The 21,752-nt window shown below is 38.8% G+C and overlaps 1 protein-coding gene across 2 annotated transcripts in view, besides 1 other annotated feature; it reads left to right on the forward strand.

Annotated features, from left to right (window-relative positions):
- The window catches only part of XRCC4 (X-ray repair cross complementing 4), a 296,927-nt gene extending 279,220 nt beyond the window's left edge, over positions 1–17,707 (forward strand). For both annotated transcript variants that reach the window (XM_047417695.1, XM_017009827.3), the window contains exons 8-9: positions 13,501–13,588; positions 16,961–17,707. In XM_047417695.1, coding sequence (XP_047273651.1) covers positions 13,501–13,546 — 46 coding nt within the window. In that variant the 3' untranslated portion in view covers positions 13,547–13,588; positions 16,961–17,707. The remainder of the gene's footprint in view (positions 1–13,500; positions 13,589–16,960) is intronic.
- Positions 11,702–11,801: a silencer, noted in NCBI's record as "silent region_16152". NCBI's record gives its function as "represses an Ori minimal core promoter by ATAC-STARR-seq in GM12878 lymphoblastoid cells {active_cell/tissue: GM12878}" and the evidence as "EXISTENCE:reporter gene assay evidence [ECO:0000049][PMID:35858748]".

Consider the following 21,752-nt stretch of genomic DNA (forward strand, 5'->3'; position numbering starts at 1 on the left):
CAGAAATTGAGTTACAATGCAGCATGGCTTTTTTGACCTTATCATCCTCACCTCTAAGATAAGGAGATTACATTTCTGAAGGTTTTTTCATCTTAAAATGTATAATTTTTGGCCCTTGCATCAGATGGTATGGCTCCAGCCTCATTACAGAAGTTAATGAAAGAAAAAAAAATCCCCTCTCAAGAGATGTCTTTATTATGTGGTTTTAAAAGGTCAAGAAACTACTTTGGAAAAGTTTTTCTGAATGGCCTATAACTCAGATTTGTAAAATACAGGACCCTGTGTTTTTGAGCCAAGCAGCTCTTTATTGGGCAAGTTTGATTCAACAAATGTTTATTAAGGATCAGCTATGCACAAAATACAGAACTGGGCCATGTGAAAAATTAAAGGATAAATCGATCCTTTCAACAAATATTTGTAAGTATTTTTGCCAGTCTCTGTTCTGGACACTAGATGTGGCAGTGAATAGCACAGACAAGTGTCCTGTTTCTGTTGAGGTTATATTCTAGAAATGAAAAGAATGGAGTATATGGGAGGGGATTGCATTGAGTTTTACACATGAAACTACTATGTAATGAACTATAATATGAAGGAGTGGTAGTCCAGATGGTATAAAAAGAACACAAAATTTAAAGGTATGGATAAGAATCCATAAAAGATTCAATTAAGAGATTATGAGAAATCGGGGGGGTTGGAGAGTGGGCTGAGGATGCGACTATCTTCCTCGGATCACATGAGAATACAGAAGGTACTGGGGCTGGGTTTGGGTGGGTACATGGCATTAATGCCTAAATTTGTCACTGTGAATCATTGGAATGAAGGAGACAAGTTACAAGGTATTCCAGAAGCAATGTTGGCCAAAGGTATTTTAGTAGTGTGAACAGTGAGCGACGTTATGTCAAGAAGACATGACAAGAATTGAGCTCTGCAGTTCTAACTGGCACTTCCTTGGGAAGGTATGAGCTGCCAAAAAATCGAAGGTCATAGGGCCCTTCCTGGGTGTCCGGAAATTGGAAAGGAAAGCCAAACAAGAGGTCTCTTGATAGAGCTGCCCCGGAGAAGCAAGCAACCCTTGCCTTTTCATGTCTCTGTCATTCTTGCACTCAGTATTATTTATAGAATCAATTTTTAATAAAAGTGAAACTAGCTGACATCTAAATTCACAAAGGCCTCACGAATTTACTTATAAGACAAGAAATCCCAAAAATAGGTAGTTACATTTTGTATTCATTTCAATGATTTTGTGAGGGAAAATGATATAGTAACAAAAGAACTATTCATGCATCCATTTGTAGCTATTGTCTGAATTTAACATTTTCACTACTGATCTGACAGCTTCTAATAAACGCTTTTCGGGAAGGTAGACTTCATTTGTAAGTGTTCTATGAACTAACCTAAAGTGGTTTTCTCCGTATCTTGATTACTGGAAATGGATACCTTGAGAAATGCATTAGAGCAAGCATTTTATGGTTGCTTCATTAACTGACCATCCACCATCGCTGTTCCTGACTCCCAACTCCCTTTCTTATCTGCTCAAAAACACTCTCCAGCTTACATTAAACTCAGGTTCTTTCTTTCATATATCCACATATCTTCTCATTTAGCTGCTATTTTCCTCTTTTTTTTCTTTTCCTCTCCTCTATTTAAATAAAATTCAATATGAATTTTATGTTAATTTTTCTTCCCTCTTTCAAAGGGCTTTCATTTAAAACTCTCATTTCACAATCTCACAAGCAGCTAAACTTTCTAAATGAGAGTCTCAATGCCCCTAAAGGCTCTTGGTTCTGCAGGGAAGTAAAGAGAGATTAGAGCCCTGCACCCATCTTGATACTGAATTTTCTTTTAAGGGCAGGAGCAATTTTGGTAGCCGCTGTTCCAGTAAATGGAATATAGACCAGTCTTGAACAACTTACTTTTGATTTAGAGAAAATCTCTGACTTAACTGCAATCTTAGAAATAACATAACTAGTCAAATTAATATAGGTGGATTAAACAATTTCTATAAAACCTGTTCATACAAGACCCTTCTAGGAATCTGTCTTTCCTTGCATTCCTCCAAAAACTGGGCCAGAGACAAGGGCATATATAAAAGCAATGTGGTGGGACAGTAAGCATAAAACAGGAAAGGCGGAGAAGCGACTGCAAGGATGCCTTATCAAGATGGCCACCCTGTTGATGACATATGCTTCATCCCACCAGGATCTTCCAAGGAACCTTTTGAAAGTTTTCTCGGAACTGTATATGCAGGGGTGAAAAGGAAAAGCCTTTATCCATCACTTGCTGTTTCCTAGTGGTCAAGGGTAGCCTGGAAACATTGTTCTCCCTACTTCGGGTTTCCCATGTGTGAATACACACCAGGTCTTGCAAATGACCCACGCTGCAGTCTCAGAGAAGCCCCAGGGCAGGAAACAAGAGAAGCAGGGGTGCCAGTTACACCTACTTATAGTAGGGGAAAGACTACCTGGAACTGAGTGCCAAAGGAATGGCTGCTATTGATATAGGGCTCAGAGGAGTTTGAAGTAGCGTACAGAAGAGCCCAATACAGTACCCATGCTTTATACCACATGACCCTGCCCCACTTCCCACCCCTAGCCAGAGTTGATTAGATCAGGGGAAGAAATGTTCTGGCTAACTTGAGTTCTTGGCCTGGCTGAACTTGGGTTTGCTGAAGAAGCCAATCTATAAATTACCAGAGAATGCTGTTAGAAGAGAGAAATGAGCAAATTTGCACACAGAAGCAGAGCACCCTGGGGACCGACAGGGGAAGTAGCCAGTGCCTGGAGTGGCCTTCATCCTTATATATTTCTGGACCAATTCTGATATACACATATCCTTAGAAATCACTGCCTCCTTTTCTGATGTTTTATTAGTCGAATGGTTCTTTGAAACAAACAAGAAATTACCTAATTAATAAGGAAACAGAATACATTCTCCAGAGAAGATTTCAATTAATTTCCATTAGCTTCAATTAACAAGTTTGTCGCAAGTTAACACTACCATTAAAAGAATATTTCAGAAGACCTTCAATCAATACTGGTAGAGACAATTAAACTTCTCGATATGATAGGAAAATAAAATCAATTTTATAATTAAATATGTGTAATTTTCCTAATATAAATGTTTAAGTTTATTAAAATGCCATTACATGCAGCTATGGTCTTATCTACATTAGATGTATCTTCTAATCACTGACAGATTTTAGTAATAGAGTGAAATGTCTGTGATCTTCGGCAACAGCATAGTACTATATATTTTATAAATAAGAAATGTCAAATACGAAGAACTTCACAAAGATGGCCACCATTGGTAGAATAATACGTATATTAATCCTTGAGACAATACAAAGCAACCTATTTTACTTCATCTTATCAAATAGTCAAGAGACTACTTCAGAGTTATAGCATTTTTATGTTACGACAAGGAGTTCTCTCTGTCACTCTCTCATATAAGATGTGTTTGAAGTCCTTAGTAGAGTTCTAGATAATCTACTGGGACAAGATGATTGTAGTGATGATGGGAGATGTATGCTTAAAGGTGATGGTTTCATCATTATACTTTGCAAATAATTAGGGAAATTCAACCAGGTGAAATTTTTCAGAAACACCTACTGATATTAGAAACAACCTGTTTCTGTCTGCTGAAAGAGGTATAATACAGTATATTTCTCTGAGGAACTAAGTTTACAGTGGTGTAATTATATTACTACCAAAGATTAAATGATTCTCATGAATATTTGCTCTTTAATGCCAAAATCCATTAACTTGCTTTGGCCAATAAAATGTGAATGAAATAACAATATGCCAGTTTTGAGCCTTGAACTAAAGAGGCATTACATGCTTCTGCTTGCCCTTTGGGAGAGTCAAATCTCTGCTATGAGGAGAACATGCCACAAGTAGCTGCTGCCTCTCCCACCTGGGCTTCTGAAGAGTTACAGAGCAGAACAGAACCTGATTCACATGCTGGAGCCACGCCCACTCCCCTGAAACCTTTAGAAGAGCCGTCCAGCTGAGCCCAGTCTAGATAAGCTGAACCACAGTCAACCATGCTATCCTGTGACCATGAGTAATGCTTGCTACCAAAAGCCACTGAGCTTTGGGATAGTTAGTTACATAGCAGTGTTTTGACAATAACTGACTAATACTTATATGGAATAACAATTTTACAACATTTGTAGTAGCTTCTAGTATATTCATGAAACAGAAATCAGGTATTTTCTGGCTGGAACCTGGTAATAAAATAAATAGGAATTAGGAATGTGGGTTTGGGGACCAGATCAAGCCAAGTTTCTACCATGCTTCTGACAGCTATTGACTGTGTGACTTACTTATTTTCTCTGAACTTGAGTTTTCTTATGCATACAATGAGAAATAAGATGATGCACATAAAGCAGCACAGTACCTGGTGCACAGTAAGTGAGGAATATGTGGAAGCTCTTTTGTTACTATCATACTATAAAATCAACACAGAATGGATCTGCAAGAGTTATGTATAACCAGATTATCCACTAAAGTGATCCTTTCTTTCAAACACCCTATCCTTGGACCTTCCTAAGTCTGATGCTGTCCTAAAGATTTTTATGAGTTTCTGTAGGATATATTTTCATAGCCACTTCTGCTGTGAATTCCTGCTTCTACAGGATTCTGAGCCTCATTCATGTTTTGACAACCCTTACTTTCTTCTTTGTCAGCTCTGTGCTGAGCCATCATGGAACTTATCTCCCTTTCTTTCATTTCCATGACAACTTTCTGTGTGTAGCAGAACTTATTAAAAGTTTGGGTCAGAGAAAGCTGTTTATCCCAAAGAAAGCCAGCAATTTATATTTGATTTTTACCATAACTCTATTCTTTTTTATTTTTCTTTTTTTTTTTTTCTTGGAGATAGAGTTTTGCTCTGTTGCCCAGGCTGGAGTGCAATGCCATGATCACAGCTCACTGCAACCTCTGTCTCCTGGTTCAAGAGGTTCTCCTGCCTCAGCCACCCTAGTAGCTGGAATTATAGGCATCTGCCACCATGCCCAGCTAATTTTTGTATTTTTAGTAGAGATGGGGTTTCACCAGGTTGGCCAGGCTGGTCAACTCTATTCTTTAAAGTCTTCTAACTCTTTACAAGAATTTCCTATTGACAACATATATCCATAGAGTCCAGACTCCTGCCATGTTATCTATTCCTTCCCTCTGTCCCTCCTTCCCCTCTCCTCTCTGCTTTCCCACAATTCCTGTTACCTTCTCATGCAAAGCAACTTAGCTGCCTCTTTCTTTTGCTCATCTCTTTTTATCAAATAGTCATGTAACATGTTTTTATGTAACACATTTTCCCTAGTACTAAATGTTAATACTTTTTACTCCCTCATCACACTTGCAATGTCATGTTAAAGATGGCATGACTTCCAGGCAAAGCAAGACCTGATTAAGGTATTGACCTATCTAGTGAAGTAATATGATTATCAAAATTAAGGAGAATTTGTGATTAAAGTATAAGAAGCGAAGAATTTTAGAGGAAAACATTGTCTGTCCAAGTGCTATTTAGGCAAAAAAAAAAAAAAAAAAAAAAAACTATCTCATTGTTTTAGGTATGTTCATGTATTCACATATTGATTTATTTGTATTCTCCCCCAAAAGATAAAATTGGAATTCTTCTATAGTGACCACAACTGGTTGTCTTTCCTTAGAATTTGGAATTTCACAGTGTGGTTACGTCTGACTTGGAGATAGCTTTTCATTTGCAACAATTTATTACCAAAGGCTATGTGTATTTAACAATAATTTTATGTTGCAAGACTTGTGGCATTTGAGTAAAAGAAGAAAAAAGTATATAATAAAACAAACACTAGTGTTTTCTTGAGGAATTTTATACCAAATACTGCCATTTCTGAAAATCATTTCTCTCTTGGTTTAAGTTTTCTGTTATTGTCCTAACCTATCATACAAGATACCAGTAACTTTCACGATTTCCTACAATCAGCAAATATTAAGTTAGGGGTTTTTGATGATGGCAAACCAATGTATTATTTCACTTTTATTATTCTCTGTATCAATAATCTTATTTATTTCAAGAACTTAAAATTTGGACTAAATGCAAGAACATGAGGCCTTGAGGTTATACACAAAGTTACCAACTGTGGTTAGAAGAACACAAGTCCTAAAGTGTATGTATGTGTGTTCACCCATTTATTGAACACTTTGTGCCAGGCACGCTGCTAGGCACTGGGGATATTAAAATGAAGACATCACTTTTGGCTTCCAGGTTTTTGAAAGTCTAGACAAAGGAAGGAGGCAGACGTGTAAACAGACAATCAAGATACGTGGTAAGTGCTGTAAGAGAGATGTGCCCAGGATGCTCAGAGGCACAAAGGAGAATCAGCCTGCTCTTATTCCACTGGGAGAAGCGGCCATGCCCAAGGAAAATTTGAGAAGGAGATAGATGAAGTTTGAGCTGAACTTCAGGGAAGACCCAGGGTTTTCCAGGAGGCTTAGGTACTCTCAGCCACTTGTGAGGCACAGAGGAAGAGAGTGTGGCCTGATCAGTATCTTGTGGCAGGAGTGAACCCCAGGGCTGAGAAGATAGGGTAGGCTACCCACTAAGAGTCTTGAATTTGGCAATAAGAATTTACATTTTAACCTGAATAAGCATCTGTGAAAGGATCTTAAGGGCAGTAAAGGGACAAGCTGATTAGATTTGTGCTTTTGAAAGGGAGGTTTGAAGGTAACGTGAAGGCACAACCACACGCACTCAGACTCTCCTATTTCTTTGCTGACTGTGTAATCCGCCGATGCTATTCCCAGCCTGCCTGGGAAACTGTCAAACTCCACTTCATACAAAGGAGCATCCATAAATGAAATGTTGCAAACAGTCTTTGGAAGTTGAGAGACTACTGGCAGAGTGACGCCTAACCTGCCCACAACCAAGAGAGACTCTTTCTAGTACTTGGCCCTTGGGCTTTGATATAAGCAGAAGTGGTTTTATCATTTTCTTTAGAAGTGATTTGGAGAGAATGTTTTTAAGCCTCTTGTGGAATTGACTTCCTTTTTTGAACATTCCCAACCCTGCTTTGACATCTTTATTTCCTGCAGAATGCTGCTCCTGTATACCTTGAAAGTAATTGCTGTCACTGTCGTCATTAATTCGCTTCTCTTTGCACCTCTTTCTGGAGTCTGTAGGTGCAACTATGCTGTTAGAAGCAGTGTTCACATTTCTTTCTTAAGGCTTCAGCATTTTGTACAAAGGTACCAGATCTGGATCCAGTCCATGTGGAGGTTTGAGGGGAGTGGGGTTCAATACACTGGTACCATTCAATGAATGTTAAATAACACAAAGCATTGTGAAAGAGGGGCTTAAATCCTGAAAGGAGACATTGTGAACTAACCTTTTATTCCCTGGGATTTTGATCCCAGGACAACTAAGAGCTATAGAATATCCTTTTTGCCCAAGAACAAAGTGGCAGAAATAGCACTTTTTAAAAAAAATCAAATTATATTTTGTTTTCAAGTTTCAACAGAAAATTTGAGACAGTATTTCTCATTGTCTTTCTAATAGACTCTGGAGAAATAGTGGCTAATATTTTTAACATGTTAGCCACTATTTCTCCACAGATTTTAATGGAAAAATGAATGAGGAGATACTTTTTCCACCTCCCTGATGATTTTTGCAATAACTGAACTTTATAAGAATACTAAAAAAAAATCTTTTATGAGTCAGTCTTCCAGTACACTTGAAAATAATCAGATTTTCTTTCACTTCCCTTCCTCTCCTTATCAGGAGAGCACTTGCAACCAGGCCATCTATGCATGTGGCTGAATAGCATCATAGAATCATTGAGAATGTCTTAAATATTAAAATGACTACCAATGTCCCTGAAGCCCTGAAACAGGTGGCAGCATCCCCACTTGGGGTCACCCATCAGTCCTATGAAGAGGACACCTACAGCAGCCGTTCCTTATAAAGAAAAACACGGTTGAGTCTTCATTACACTTAATTAAAGAACAGCCGAAAATCCTGTCTTGCATTTTCAACACATGGTTCCAATTAGTGTCCCAAAGCAGGACGCTGACTTTGATAAAAGCATTCATGTGCACCTTTGGTGCCTGTACAATGTACTCTTTCATTTTACAAGGTGGCTGAAGTGCAGTTTTAAATATCTTTTTTTAAATATTAACAAAAAACCCAGGAGTATAAGTTTAGAAAGAGGTGAAGAGAAGTGAAAACAATTTTGTTAGAATGGCTTGCCATAGGCTTCTAGAACCCTGTATGCAGAGGGCGGTTTATTTGGTAAAATCTGCACTGCTCATTTGCAGGGCTGTGTGCAAGAAGCATTACAGCTCCTGAGAGTTGCACTCAGAGGCCATTCGATGGGAGTTCCGTTACCTCAGGAAACACCACTTACTGTACTGTAAATTTGCTTCATATGACTGATCTGCTCAAAAGGCCCTGGAAAGCCCCATTCAAATAAATTGTTTCAGACCACGCTATAACTGATGGACATCCATCTTCAGTGGACTCTCTGGGTAACTTCTGGAGGGTGGTATTTTTTAAGTAGGAAGGGAAAACTTGTGTCCTAGAATCTGGGAATTAGATGTGGAAATGCTTAATTTCGGTCATCACTTCTCACCTTTTGCCAAAATAAAGGGAAATAGCAAGAGGAAAAAGAAAGATAAAACAAGTAAAATGTTTTACGACTGCTTCACATGGTGAGTGTTCCACACTGCCCCAAGAATAGTGGAATGATTTTCCACTTTGGGTCATGGGAAAGCGTGATGTCTTTAGTCCCAGAAGGGTGAGACACATACGGTTATACAGCCCTTCGTGAAAGCTGAAAACAATCCCCTTTGTGCCTGGCTTTCATTTTCAGAGATACCATTCAATTTTTGGCAGATAATACACAAGTTAGAGAAATGTGCCCAGCAAGAACAATAAAAATCATCCCCTAGATTCATTACAAATTTCATTATTAGGAAATAGTCTCTAAAAGTGCCAAGGCAAGAACAAAAATATGAGCAGAGTAAAACTGAGCAAATGGATTTCTTCAGACCAATTACAACTTCAGTAAATAAATAATTAAGATGATCTTTCCGATAGCTTCATTCTTGGAGACTTGGTGACAATAGATATACTATGTCTTCCCTTGGTTTTCAAAATTATAAAATAGAGTTTGTCACTTTTCTAAAAGGGATCCCAAATAGTGACGGACTGAAACTGTGCAAACCTGTTCTTCTTACAGGAATCAATTTTCCCCTCCTTCAGCTTATGCCCCCTAGTAACCACTGGTGATATACCTTCATCAGGCAATAGAGAGAAGTATGCCATCTTCAATGAGTCCCTTTTTAACAGCCCCATTAACTCTTACTGAGTTGACTTATTTATACATAGGTGAGTATTATACATCATTAATGAATAATTCTAGACTTCAAATATCTCTAAATCTCCAAATCATTATTCAAACTGAACTGTGCTATAGGCACATTTCCTATTCACTCATGAAATCTTGGACTTCCCAACCTCCAGAACCATGAGCCAAATAAATTCAGTTCATTGTAGATCCCCTACGCTGTGGTGTTCTCTTACAGCAGAACAAAACAAGACGGATCCTTGATTCATCTATGTCTCTCCCAACCTACATCCAATTCATAAGAAAAATACACCCAGAATTAAATTTTTTTTCTATCAACTTGAGCTAAAACAAGTTAGTATCCTATTTCAACTGGGTTATTTCAATAGCATCCCAACTAGTCACCCTACAACTCTTCAAATAGGAGGCAGTGACCATTTTAAGATGTTGGATTCATATTCCTTCTCTGCTCAAAGCTTTTCCATGCCTTCTTGGCACACTCAAGTAAAAGCCAAGAGCTTTACTGTGGCTTACAAGACTCTGAGAATAATCCTCTACCACTCCATTTCTCTGGTTGTATCCACTACCCTGCCCTGTTTTCCCCTCTTTTTGCTTCAGCCACACTCATGTCATTGCCATACTTTGAACAAACCAAACCACTCCTGCTTTTGAACATGCTGTGTTTCCTAGCAGGAAAGCTTTCCCTTAGATACCCACAGAGTTGCTTCCTTGCTTTTTTCACGTTATCAGGGAGGCCTTCCCAGACCACCCTATGTAAAACAGCACCCTCCTACTACTACCTATCACAGAAGTATTTTCCTTGCCCCGATTAGTTATTTTCCACACCACCTATTAGACCTAGCATACTATATATTGTGTTTATTTGTTTTTTTGGCCATCTGTTCTCACCAGATTTTAAACAGGATTAGAACAGGGATTTAGTCTGTTTTGTTCTCTCCTACAACTTTGTTGCCTAGAACGATGTTGGGTACACAGTAGATTCTCAATCGATATTTTTTGAATTAATGATCTAAATCTACATTACTGATTAAATCAGTATCATGATGATTACAAGAGCAATAAGTCATAGAAAGCTTTGTTGATTGGACTCATTACAATTCTAGTACAACAAACCCTTTACTAAATCTCACTTGAGAGGTTGTCTAAAGTACAACATCAGACTCTCTTAGCATTGATAGTGTTCACATATTACATGTCTATGTGCAAATCATATGTCCAAGCCCCACCAATGTGAGGCTGAAAATAAAATCACATTAATTTTAAATATTCAAAATAAAACCTTAGCCTTCACCCTATGTGACTGTTGTGTTCTTCTCTTTACAAACCCATCCTGCTCATCGTTTACTGTGTCAGCCAGCCATCTGGCTCAGACCTTAGGCCTCTGCTCCTTGCACGGGCCACTCTGCTCACTTCTCAAGCTCCCTGAAAGAGCTTCCTCAGGCTGCTGCCACTGCCACCATACTGCCTCATCCCAAAAGTGGGCATCAAGCTTTCTCTTGAAACTTGACATACACACAGCACAGTGGAAACCAGGCTGTCACTTAAATAAGTCCTTATCAAGCTCTCCAGTGATCTTCATATTCTGAATCCAGTGGAGAAGATGGGAGAGGCTGGGATTACAGGAGCCCACCACCATACCCAGCTAATTTTTTTTTTTTTTTTTAGTTGAGATGGGGTTTCACTATGTTGGCCAGGCTGGTCTTGAACTCCTGACCTCAAGTGATCCACCCACCTCGGCCTCCCAAAGTGCTGGGATTACAGGCATGAGCCACTGCACCTGGCCTCTTTTAGTCAATATTTTAGTGGCCCTCAAGTGTACAACATAGGCAGCTCTGTATACCATACACAGGTGTGGAACTGGTTCAGATGCTGTATGGAGAAAACACAGCTGATGCAAGTGCTTCACACTGTTTTTAAAACAGGCTGTGGATGCTTATTTCAATGATCTCTACACTGAACCCCAATAAGAAAAAAAAAAAAGGAGTTGCTGTGATTGGGTAGGATTCTGTAGTTGTGTTCCCTTATGTTTTGTAAACAAAATTAATTTTGCAAGCTATTGATTAAGAGAATACACTTAAGAGTCAAAGAATTGAGTTCAAACCCCAGTTCAGGGTGACCCTTGGAAAGCGTCTTTCTCTCCCTGAACTACAGTTTCGTCATCTCCAAAATGCAGTCAATCATCCCAGGTGGTGCTGAGGACTAAAGGAGATGACATGAAATGGCAATGAGCACAGGGCCTGGTGCACAAGAATGGCCCATGTGAAGTGTGAGGGGTTGTTCACGTTCATCTGCTGTCACTTCTATCCTAGCCTAAAACTGTTAGGAGGGGAAGGATGAGTGTGGTGTGATGCCCAAGGCAACAAAACCTGGTGCTGGTGACTAACTAACCGCTCTCCCAAGGGTAACAGAACAACTGCTTTTTTGTAAACTGGGTTAAATCACTCCCTGGTGTGGCTAACGATGACTAATACAGCAGAAGGGAGTGGGCTCCCCTGGTGCAAGGCACTATTGGGAAGTTGGCTGTGCTCTGCTTACAAAAACTGTGGGTCATCAGCGAGCTCTAATTCTTGTAGATCCTACGATAGTCCTTAATTTGCAAAAAGTTTACTCATTTGCAGAAAGGATTTCAACCCTTACGATATACTAAATATAATTTCTGGGAAGTCCTTACAGACATCCTAAAGAGAAATACACTCCATTAATGGTGTGTTAATAGCCTTTTGACAAGGCAGGCTGTGTTAGTGTATAAGACATTAGAATGGATAGAGACATAGAACTTGGTAGATGATAGGTAACAGGGAATATTAACCAGAAAACTCATACTGAAAACAGAAAAATGGCCCCTTTTGACCACAATATTGAAATTCTTTTATTTTTGTCTCTCTAATAGCACAGCAAGGCACAATATTTCAACTAGAGGTATTAGAAACGTTACTAGCATTAAGCAAATATGTAGCAACTTGCATAACTTCTTAGAAGTGAGTAAAATCCAGTTCCTCATTTTTTCAAGATTCCTTTTTACATAGTACTCTAGATAGGATTGCAAAAGCAATGATCTTGCAAGAAACGGGACCTTCACTGCAAATGGGATACACCGTTAAAATACACAAGAGAAAGCATTTTACTTTCTTTGTTTTCTTTTTAAGCTTTTATCATAGAATCAGAGGGCGCATGGGCAGGATTGTTACAGAGGAATTTTGCGAGATGCTGAGGTTTAGGGTATGACTGAGCCTGTCACCCTGGTATTGAGCATAATACCCAATAGACAGTTTTTCAACTCTTACCTCCATCTCTCCCTCCCCCGTCTAGTAGTTCACAGTATCTATTGTTCCCGTCTTGTGTCCCTGTGTACCCAATGTTTAGCTCCCACTTCTAAGTGAGAACATGTGGTATTTGGTTTTCTGTTTCTGCATTGTTTGCTTAGGATAATGGCCTCCAGCTGCATTCAGATTGCTGCAAAGAACCTGATTTCATTCTGTTTTATGGCTGCATAGTATTCCACGGTGTATATGTACCACATTTTCTTTATCCAATCCACTATTGATGGGCACCTGGGTTGATGCCATGTCTTTGGTATTGTGAATAGAGAGCTGTGATGAACATACAGGTGCAGGTGTCCTTTTGGTGGAATAATTTACTTTCCTTTGGGTATATACCCAGTAATGGGATTGCTGGGTCAAATGGTAGTTAACTCTTAGTTCTTTGAGAAATCTCCAAACTGCTTTCCACAGTGGCAGGACTAATTTACATTCCCACCATCAGTGTGTAAATGTCCCCTTTTCTTTGTAGCCTTATCAATATCTGTTATTTCTTGATGTTTTAACAAAAGCCATTCTAACTGGTATGAGATGCTATCTCATTGTGGTTTTGATTTGAAAATATGAGTCTTTTTCTTCCCATATATTTAATCTTCTGTACTCATTTCAACCTGGTCTAATTTGCTAACCCAAACCTAGACTATATTGCCACATCCCTGCCAGGATTCTGAGAGAGGACAAGAGCCCCAAACTCAGGTATTAGCTATTTCAGAGGTGCTCTTAGTTCTCCTAAACTTTCCTTGACAACTGTGAGGACTTTGGCCCCTTAAATCATATTATTGAGAACTAGACAATGTAGTCACAAGACCTCTGATGCTAAGTGTTTGATTCTTGTTGCAGATTCCCCAATACTCCAATTCTCCAAGCAGTGGATCTTGAGCTGTGACTTCTGTCTGTCATAGGAAGTGTCCTCATCCCTGGAAGAAAGGTAGATCCCCTCAGAACCATGTCAGTCCTCCTCTCCACATCTTGCATTGTGGCTCAATCAGACATGCTCCCAATAAAGTTCCCAGGAACAGAGAAATCATAATTATTTCCTCATTTCTTTACTTATCTCTGAAAGACACAGAGGAGGGCTAGTGCATGTCAGGTACCCTACTGCCTGTCCAAGTTGTTTCTGCTTTTTAGAAATGTCTAAAAACTCCAGCTGAACTCATAATTTCCCTTCCACCTTTAGCCTACCTTGTTCCTACTTGGGCTTCTTCAACTTGGTGTGTGTCATCACTGAATACCTGGTCACCAAAGTTGGAAACCTCATTGTGATTGTTGACTTTTTCATCTCCATGACTAAGCATTGACCCCAATTCCAGCCCCCAATCCATCTTCAAATTCTATCGTTTCTTCCTCTGTAATAGCGAATTCTCTCTATTCCCACTAAAATTACCATCATGTGTTACCTGCATCAACATCACAGCCACATACCAAGTCTGTCTTCCTCTAACTCTGCCCCATGCCAACTCTTTCTCCTGCTTTAGTCACTTTCCATCTCCATATTCTTCATTCTTCTGCCTTCTCTGCTTTCCACTGCCTTCAGTAAAATAAGTCCAGTCTTCATAAATTATCTTGCAAGGCCTGTCAGCATATGGTGCCTCCTTACTCCAGTGACATTTTCAGTATTCTCCTCTTTGTCATCCACTCTGATTGACACTAATCCACCTCAGCTCTTGTGCTTTTTCTTTGCCTCCAAGCCCTTTCATCCACTCTTCTCTTTGTCTTGAGTATCCCTTCTCACTAAGCTCCCTTCATCCTCTGGCTAATTCCTATTTGTTTTACAAGTCTTGGATTCAGTGTCACTTTCTTCAGAAACCTGTTACTGACTTTCCAAATCCTGATTAGGCATTCCTCGGGAGTATTCTTTTACCATATCTTCCTCACTAGAACACTTAGCACATTCTATTTTAACTGCATATTTGTTTTTCTGATTATCTCAGACTGTCAGTTTATAAAGACAAGAACCCAGTCTTTCTTTTTTACTGTTCCATTCCTTGTACCCAGAGCAAGTCTTCCTGAATGAATACATGAATAAATTGAATAAATGAGTGAGTATAATGGAAATAAACAAGAAAACATGTTTAAAAATTAAAAGAAACAATCTACATGTCAGATGCATCTGAGAGAGTGAGGGAGCTGAGGATGAAGTGAACTGTGGACTCATAGGTAGATGGTCTATGACCACAGCAGGAGCACTTTCAGTGGAGTGATGGGACAGAAACCAGAGCCACGTGGATTGAAATTGGCTGGTACATGAGTGTGTGTAGACAGCAAATGTATAGACAAGTTGCTTAAAAAGTTGTGCCATGATAAAAGGAAGACATTGTTGATGCAGGAAGGAGAAGGGCTGACTGCAGGAACATACACATGAAAGATTGAAGAAATCCTTTGTAAGAAGGTCGGAATTATCCTTAGGGTCACCAAAAAGGCAGACACACACAAAAAAGGAAAACACAATTGGGCAAAAGTCCACAAACACATTTTAAATCAAAGTTCTGATAAAATGTGCTAGGACAAGTAAGAAAATTCCAGAAAGCACTAGCAAAGTAAGTTTACAATGTTGCTTAGCTCTGCTTTGTGCAGCAAGTAATAACTATATTGGTAGATTTTGTTGGCCTGTTGTGATAACAACATAAAGGGAAACAGCTGGCACTGGGGTGCAGGAAATCCTTTTGCTTTAATACATTATTAAATATTTAAGTCACAAAATTGTGAAGAGTTATACATCAATCAACCATCTAATCACTTCCCAGGTTAAGGAATAAAAAAAAAATTATTAAATACAGTTGAACACCTAGTGAATCTAGAATTTAAAATGATATTTATCCCAAATGTGCAAATTTCCAAAGTGCAATTTATTTTTTAGCATGACAAATGTTTGCACTGTGGGAAGTCATAACCAACTTGTAGAAGTTTATACAGAAAATATTTTCAGTAAACAAAGTGGAGTGCAGAACTTCAAGAAGAAAGTGTGAGGGACGTGATGATAAAAGCAAAGGAAGACTAGCAGATGTGCCCCAGGCCCTCCTCATTGTCATCAATCATAAGCCTGTCCTACTCCGAGGTTCCCAAGCAGTAGGTCTTGGACCCCTGGGGGTAGCAGAATTTATTGTGAGGGGTCTGTAAATCCATATGCACATTCAGTATGGAGAGACTAAATAAATAATATGTCATACACACACATTATTTTTAAACTGTCTGTAGTTGAGGTGATGAATAACTTACAAATTCAGTTACTTGCTTCACCAAATTAATAGCAGCCTTTGATCATTAATGTATTTTCTCAATCTACAGACATTAAAAGTATAATTTCTAGCATGACACAGTCCTCATACTCAAAAAACTGGGGGCTATTGCTATTGTTACTTGCTAGAAAACATGTGTAAAGCCACTGGACGATCATTTAAATGGGAAATAAAAGTTTGATTTAATGTTTTAATAGTTGTTTGCATTATAAAAATATCACTTACAATACATTTCAAGGAATAAGCTTGTTTTATTCACTTTTTGTTTCTGCAGACTGCTTGAGTGCTAAAGCCCTTCTTAGTCCATGCTCAATAGCACAAGGCAGTCAGACCTTGGAAAATGAAATCGAACATCCAAGGGACCAGTTCTTTCGGATTCTGAGTGGAGTTTCTCTTACTCTTTTGAACACTGATAGTCCTTCCTTTGGTGAAAAAAGGGAGGCGGAAATCTCACCTTCCTTCCACTTGCCTTCTGCTTGCCATGCCCTGAGCCCCACTAGGCAGCTCTACCCAGCATTGGCTCCTGTTTCTAATCCGTCTGCCCTTCTTTGCTTTATTCATGCAGAAGAGCTCAAGGCTCCCTGTGCACCCTCATTTGTCGAGGTCCTTAGCACGCACACTTCATTGAGTGTTGAATTGCTTTTTAGTCAGCTGTTTCAAATGCCTTTGTTTTTCCTCACCATAAGAGAATAAATAAATTGAAATATCTGAGCATAGAATTCATATTGCTTGTTGAATTAAATTGATTGTGGAGGAAAAGCAATGGCCCATTCTTTTCTCAACTTCTCTTTCTCACTGTTGTCTAACTGAACAATAGAAATGCTCTTTTGAATATAGTCGTGTTTTCCAAAAACTCTTCACTGAAATACTTTCTAAAGTGAGACAGCACAAAAGATGGCACACTGACCCAGCATCATCACTTTGAGTTCCATAATGAGAAATTGACTTCTTTATGAATTGTCTTTCAATCCTGATCACATGAAGAAGAAAATCTTAATTCAGTGTTGGTGTGTATTTAACACTCTTCACACTGCCCTTTGCTTTTTCTCTATTTTTTTTAACAGAGAGAATGTCTACACCTCACTTTTGGAGTCTTCAGCAGAAGATAACAGTATTTACCCAAACTTTAAAGCATTGTTTTATATTCATTGTGTATATCTATGTATATAATAGCTACCTTCTATTTAAGTCCAATGATATGGTTTGTAAATCTGTTTACAGTAGTGATATAATCTTTTAAAATAATAGAAAAAGTGGTTCCATTTAAAGAAAAATATATGGATAATTGATGGTTTCATGGTACAGAAAAAACATGTAAGTTATTCAAAAACAAAGTTTGCGAGGACCTGCCCTATCACAAAGCAAATACATTAGTGAGAAGCAGAGAGTATTAACCTGTGATCCTAAACTCTTTTGTCAATGTGGAAAAGGCATTCATCACCCAGCATCCTGTAAGAGGACCCAGAAGAGGTTACTTTTATGGCCATATGAGGTGAGTAGGTGATATGATTTGGCTGTGTCCTGACCCAAATCTCATTTTAAATTGTAGCTCCCATAATTCCCACGTGTTGTGGGAGGGACCCAGTGGGAGATCAAATCATGGGAGTGGTTTCCCTGATACTGTTCTCATGGTAGTGAATAAGTCTCACAAGATCTGATGATTTTATAAGGGGCTTCCCCTTTTGCTTGGTTTATATTCACTCTTGTTTACCGCCAGGTGAGACGTGCGTTTTGCCTTCTGCCATGATTGTGAGGCCTCCTCGGCCACATGGAACCCTGAGTCAATTAAACCTCTTTTTCTTTGTAAATTACTTAGTCTCAGTTATGTCTTTATTAGCAGCATGAGAACGACTAATACAGTAGGCAAGTGGGAGTCATCAGAGTCCTGACCAGGCTTTCTGCTACATGTGTATAAGTAGTTACCCATAGCACTGGCCCCATGTCTTTGAATGTGAAGAAGAATAGTAAAAGGAATGCAACTTTCATTACATTTTAACCTGGCAGCACATCACTTTTCCCATGCCACATTGTCTTAGAAGCCATTCATACAAGGGGTTTATTACATTTTGAGATGCTGACAAAACAGTTCTCAAGTGCATTGCTCAACTCCAGTCAGACGTCACTGGCTATCATTTCAAAGTCAGTGGGTGTAAAACTTGCTGCTCCTTTCTATTTGTGAGATAATCCTGGCTCTCCCTTCCCCTCCAGGATATGGCTGCCAAAAGAAATTAATGCCTTACCTACTCCATCCACGATGACCTCCAAAACAAAAGTAAATGTTTCTTATGCTCACTGAAAACATTTCCCCAAAAGACTGCAAATAGTACAAATGCCTACTCCAGTGATGGATAATTCCAGCAACATTTTTTTTTCAGCTAAGTGAAGATAGCATCACAAGTGGGGATAAAGTGAACCGGAGTCTCTGACTTTGACGTTCCAATCCTTGATCATTCACTGCCTAACTCTGCTCTCAAACTGACCATTCAACCTCTTTTTTGGAAGTCATCTTCCTTGAAAATGAGACCTACTAGCACGTACTTCTTGCCTAAGCAACAGATAAAGTGGAAGCTGTACAGAGGCAGTAGCCATGGCCTAATCTACAGTGCAGAAGTTCTTTCCAGAATTTTTTTTCCCAAAAAAGTTCTTAAATAACACAGCTTCATCAGTGTCAAAGGCCACAGTCAGACAGGGGGCCCTTCCTTCTGCTAAAGACTAGGCCTTTGCCTTGTATGGGCTAATTTATCATACATTTTGATGTGCTTGTAGAAACAGTGGACACTTTCTTTTCCTTATATTCTTAGTTTGGTGAATATTATCTACATGAGTCATTTTAATTTTTTTTGTTTTAGTTCTCTGTTTTTGTGCTGTGAGACTCTGAATTTCCAGATAGCTGCCAAAAATGGAAAAAATATGCCTTACTTCCCAAAGACAGAGGATGCCATTTGTTACCCATCAAACATACTTTGCCTTTTGGCATCACTTGGAATATAGAAGAGACACACTCACATTTCTCCTAGGGCTGAGACTAGATAGCAAAACTTGATCTTGGAAATATACAAAGATGATACTGTTATCTTTTTCCTCAGCCATTGCTGAAGAACTGAATTTAGTTGAAATACATATTTGCTGAGCAGTAAGAAAAAGTGTTGAGAGAAAAATAGACTTCATTTAAAAGTGGCAAGACAGAAGTAGTGTCTTGTGTGGGCAAATTGGTTTGTAGGCTTGAGCCAAATAGTTTACAGAGAGTAAGAGGCATCCAGTTTTTTGGAACACCACGCCATACACTGTCGACTCCTGCTAGTTATTTCCTTCATGATTCTCTAGTGAACTGAAGAAACAAATTAACATCCAAAAGTTAACCTCTGTTTAAATAAAAACACAGCATACACCGAATAGTTAGTCATACTAAATGCTTTGATATCCCATCTTAATAAGGGACTAATTGGATTAAATTTTAATTATCCAGATATAAAGTAAAACATACAGTAGTGAATTTGTGTAACATTTATTACTATAAAAAAGATAAGTGGTTATTTATAAAATAATGTGTGAAACTTTTCTTGATCCTGAGGGGTCAAAGGAACAGGTAATGACTAATAATACTGATAAACCGTATGTGGAAGACTGTGGTGAATAAAATAAAAAGGCCCCAGGGATATTTTGTTGTGCCTGATTTGGCCCAATCTGTTGATCACCTTGGCTTTTAATGCCTCTCATTAGGAAGAGTCTTCAGCAAAGATAGCCATTAGGCAAATTACAAACAGTGTGTTAATGTATTTGATGAGGTTTTCTACTTTTCTTGCTTTGAAGCTTTGAAAACTATTTCTGGTGATTATTATAATTGAAGTCCATTTGCACACTGATTTTTCTTTATTTCTCTTTAACCTTGATTTTGGCCTCAGTCTCCACCAAGGGGAAGTAGCATTGCTGCTAATCCCATCTTGGCAGAATTATTGGGTTCCACCCCAGCAGTCACCAAAACATTCAGGTTTAGTCAGAACGCCAATTCGTCACTTCATAAAACCAAATCTTTTCTCCATCCCACAATAACCTGTTCATAGACCAAAGGGAGAGTGAAAGAGATGTGAATCAACTCACTGAATAACAGGGCCAGGCCCTCCCAGATGTGGAGAGGTCTGAGACACTTCCATTTTTTTTCCTTGAAGATTTAAAATAAAATGAAGAAGAAAGAAGTGTCAGAACAGAATAGCAAACATTATAGCACATTTTAAGTACTTAAAATCATGCTTTAAACACATAAAAAAATAACCTTTTTGGAAGGCAAGAACAAATGACCCAACTAAGGCCCTTTGTGAATATAAGGCCCTGGCTAAATGGCCCTCCTGAGGATCCTTATCTCTCAACCATCATAGCTGCTGCTCAGAGGTGGATAGAAGTTTCAGGACCAGTTAGACTAATTTTATAAATAAACAAATGTGAAGAATGTAAATGATGTGCTTTAGAGCACAGCCAAGTAGCTGATGAAAAAGCATATGGCAATGGGCTCTCTTTGCAGGTGGAAGAAACATGGAAGGCACAGAAGAGTTTTTGGGTGTGTGGAAGGACTACTTGGAATTGATAAGGTGATGAATACTGAGAGCATCATTGCAGTGAAAATAAATATTGTGCAAAACCACCATAAAATGGACTGAGTCATGCCCAGATGTGGCTAATCAGGACTCCAGATTGATATTTCCACATGATTTCAGTAAGAACTGCAATTATGATGTTACTTCCTGAGATGGAGGAAAGACAGCTTCCTTTTTTTTTTTGAAATTTCTTATTTCTAGTATTCTTATTCCGTCTTTAGTTCTCCAGTTGGGAATCTATGTGAGAGCCCTGTGGAGACAGATGACAACCTTTTCCATGGAATTATTAAGCTAGAAAGCAAGGATGTTAGGATTTGATTTTGACTCAGTCTTTTGTGAGACACACTCTTCTTTGAGTCATGCTTTAATAATTTGGAACTCAGCAATGACTTTATTTATTTCGGGGAATTTTACTTTTCTAGAGAGCCAGAATAATTCTTCCCTTTTAGATATCACAAGCAGACACTGGAAAAAGCAGACACTGGAAAAGCTGCTTTTTGTATCTTTCTCATAGGATTCTGGGCTCCTCAGCAACTTGGCCAGCCATCTTGAATCGAAAGTTGGGCAAGTGCTATTGGCTCTGTTTCCTCATAGATCATTTCCAGCTGTTACCTCAACACAAATATGACACCTCCTGAATTCAAGAAAACTTGAACTTTTCATTGGATCCCCATATAAAGATTGGATGCGATGATTAAAAAGAAGTGTCCAATCCTATGCTGTGAGAATGTCAAGATCTGGATATTACTCTACCATTAGTGGGAATCTAACTTGATACAAATGTTCTAGTAGGCAATTTGGCAACACAAATAAAAATCCTCAAAATTTTTAAAATTCAAGATGGCAGACAGAACACATGCATTAACCTCCCATTTCTTCCAAGATTTTTGCATTAAACATGAATATATATAATAGAATACTCCTTTATATGTATATGTCTCAGAGTTGAGTAAGGAAAATTAAGTCAAATAGTTCAATAGAATTCAACACAGGGAACTATGTATGAAGTTGTAGGAATATCTAAAAAGCCAGATAAATTGGGGACACCCACTACCACCACTAGAGCTGAAGCAACCAAGGGAGAAGGCATTGCCAGAGCCCAGGATCCAGGACTGCCTGGCAGGAGCTGGAACCATGGATTAAGGGGCTGTTTGGGGTCTAAATGAGATGGAAGAAATGTAGCCACATCAAGAGAGGCTGCCCAAGGCAGAAAGAAATGGAAGAAATATCCTGCCGTTGTCATTCTTCCCTCTCTTCAATATCCCAC

Source organism: Homo sapiens, chromosome 5 (assembly GCF_000001405.40).
Source record: "Homo sapiens chromosome 5, GRCh38.p14 Primary Assembly".
Classification (NCBI taxonomy): domain Eukaryota; kingdom Metazoa; phylum Chordata; class Mammalia; order Primates; family Hominidae; genus Homo; species Homo sapiens.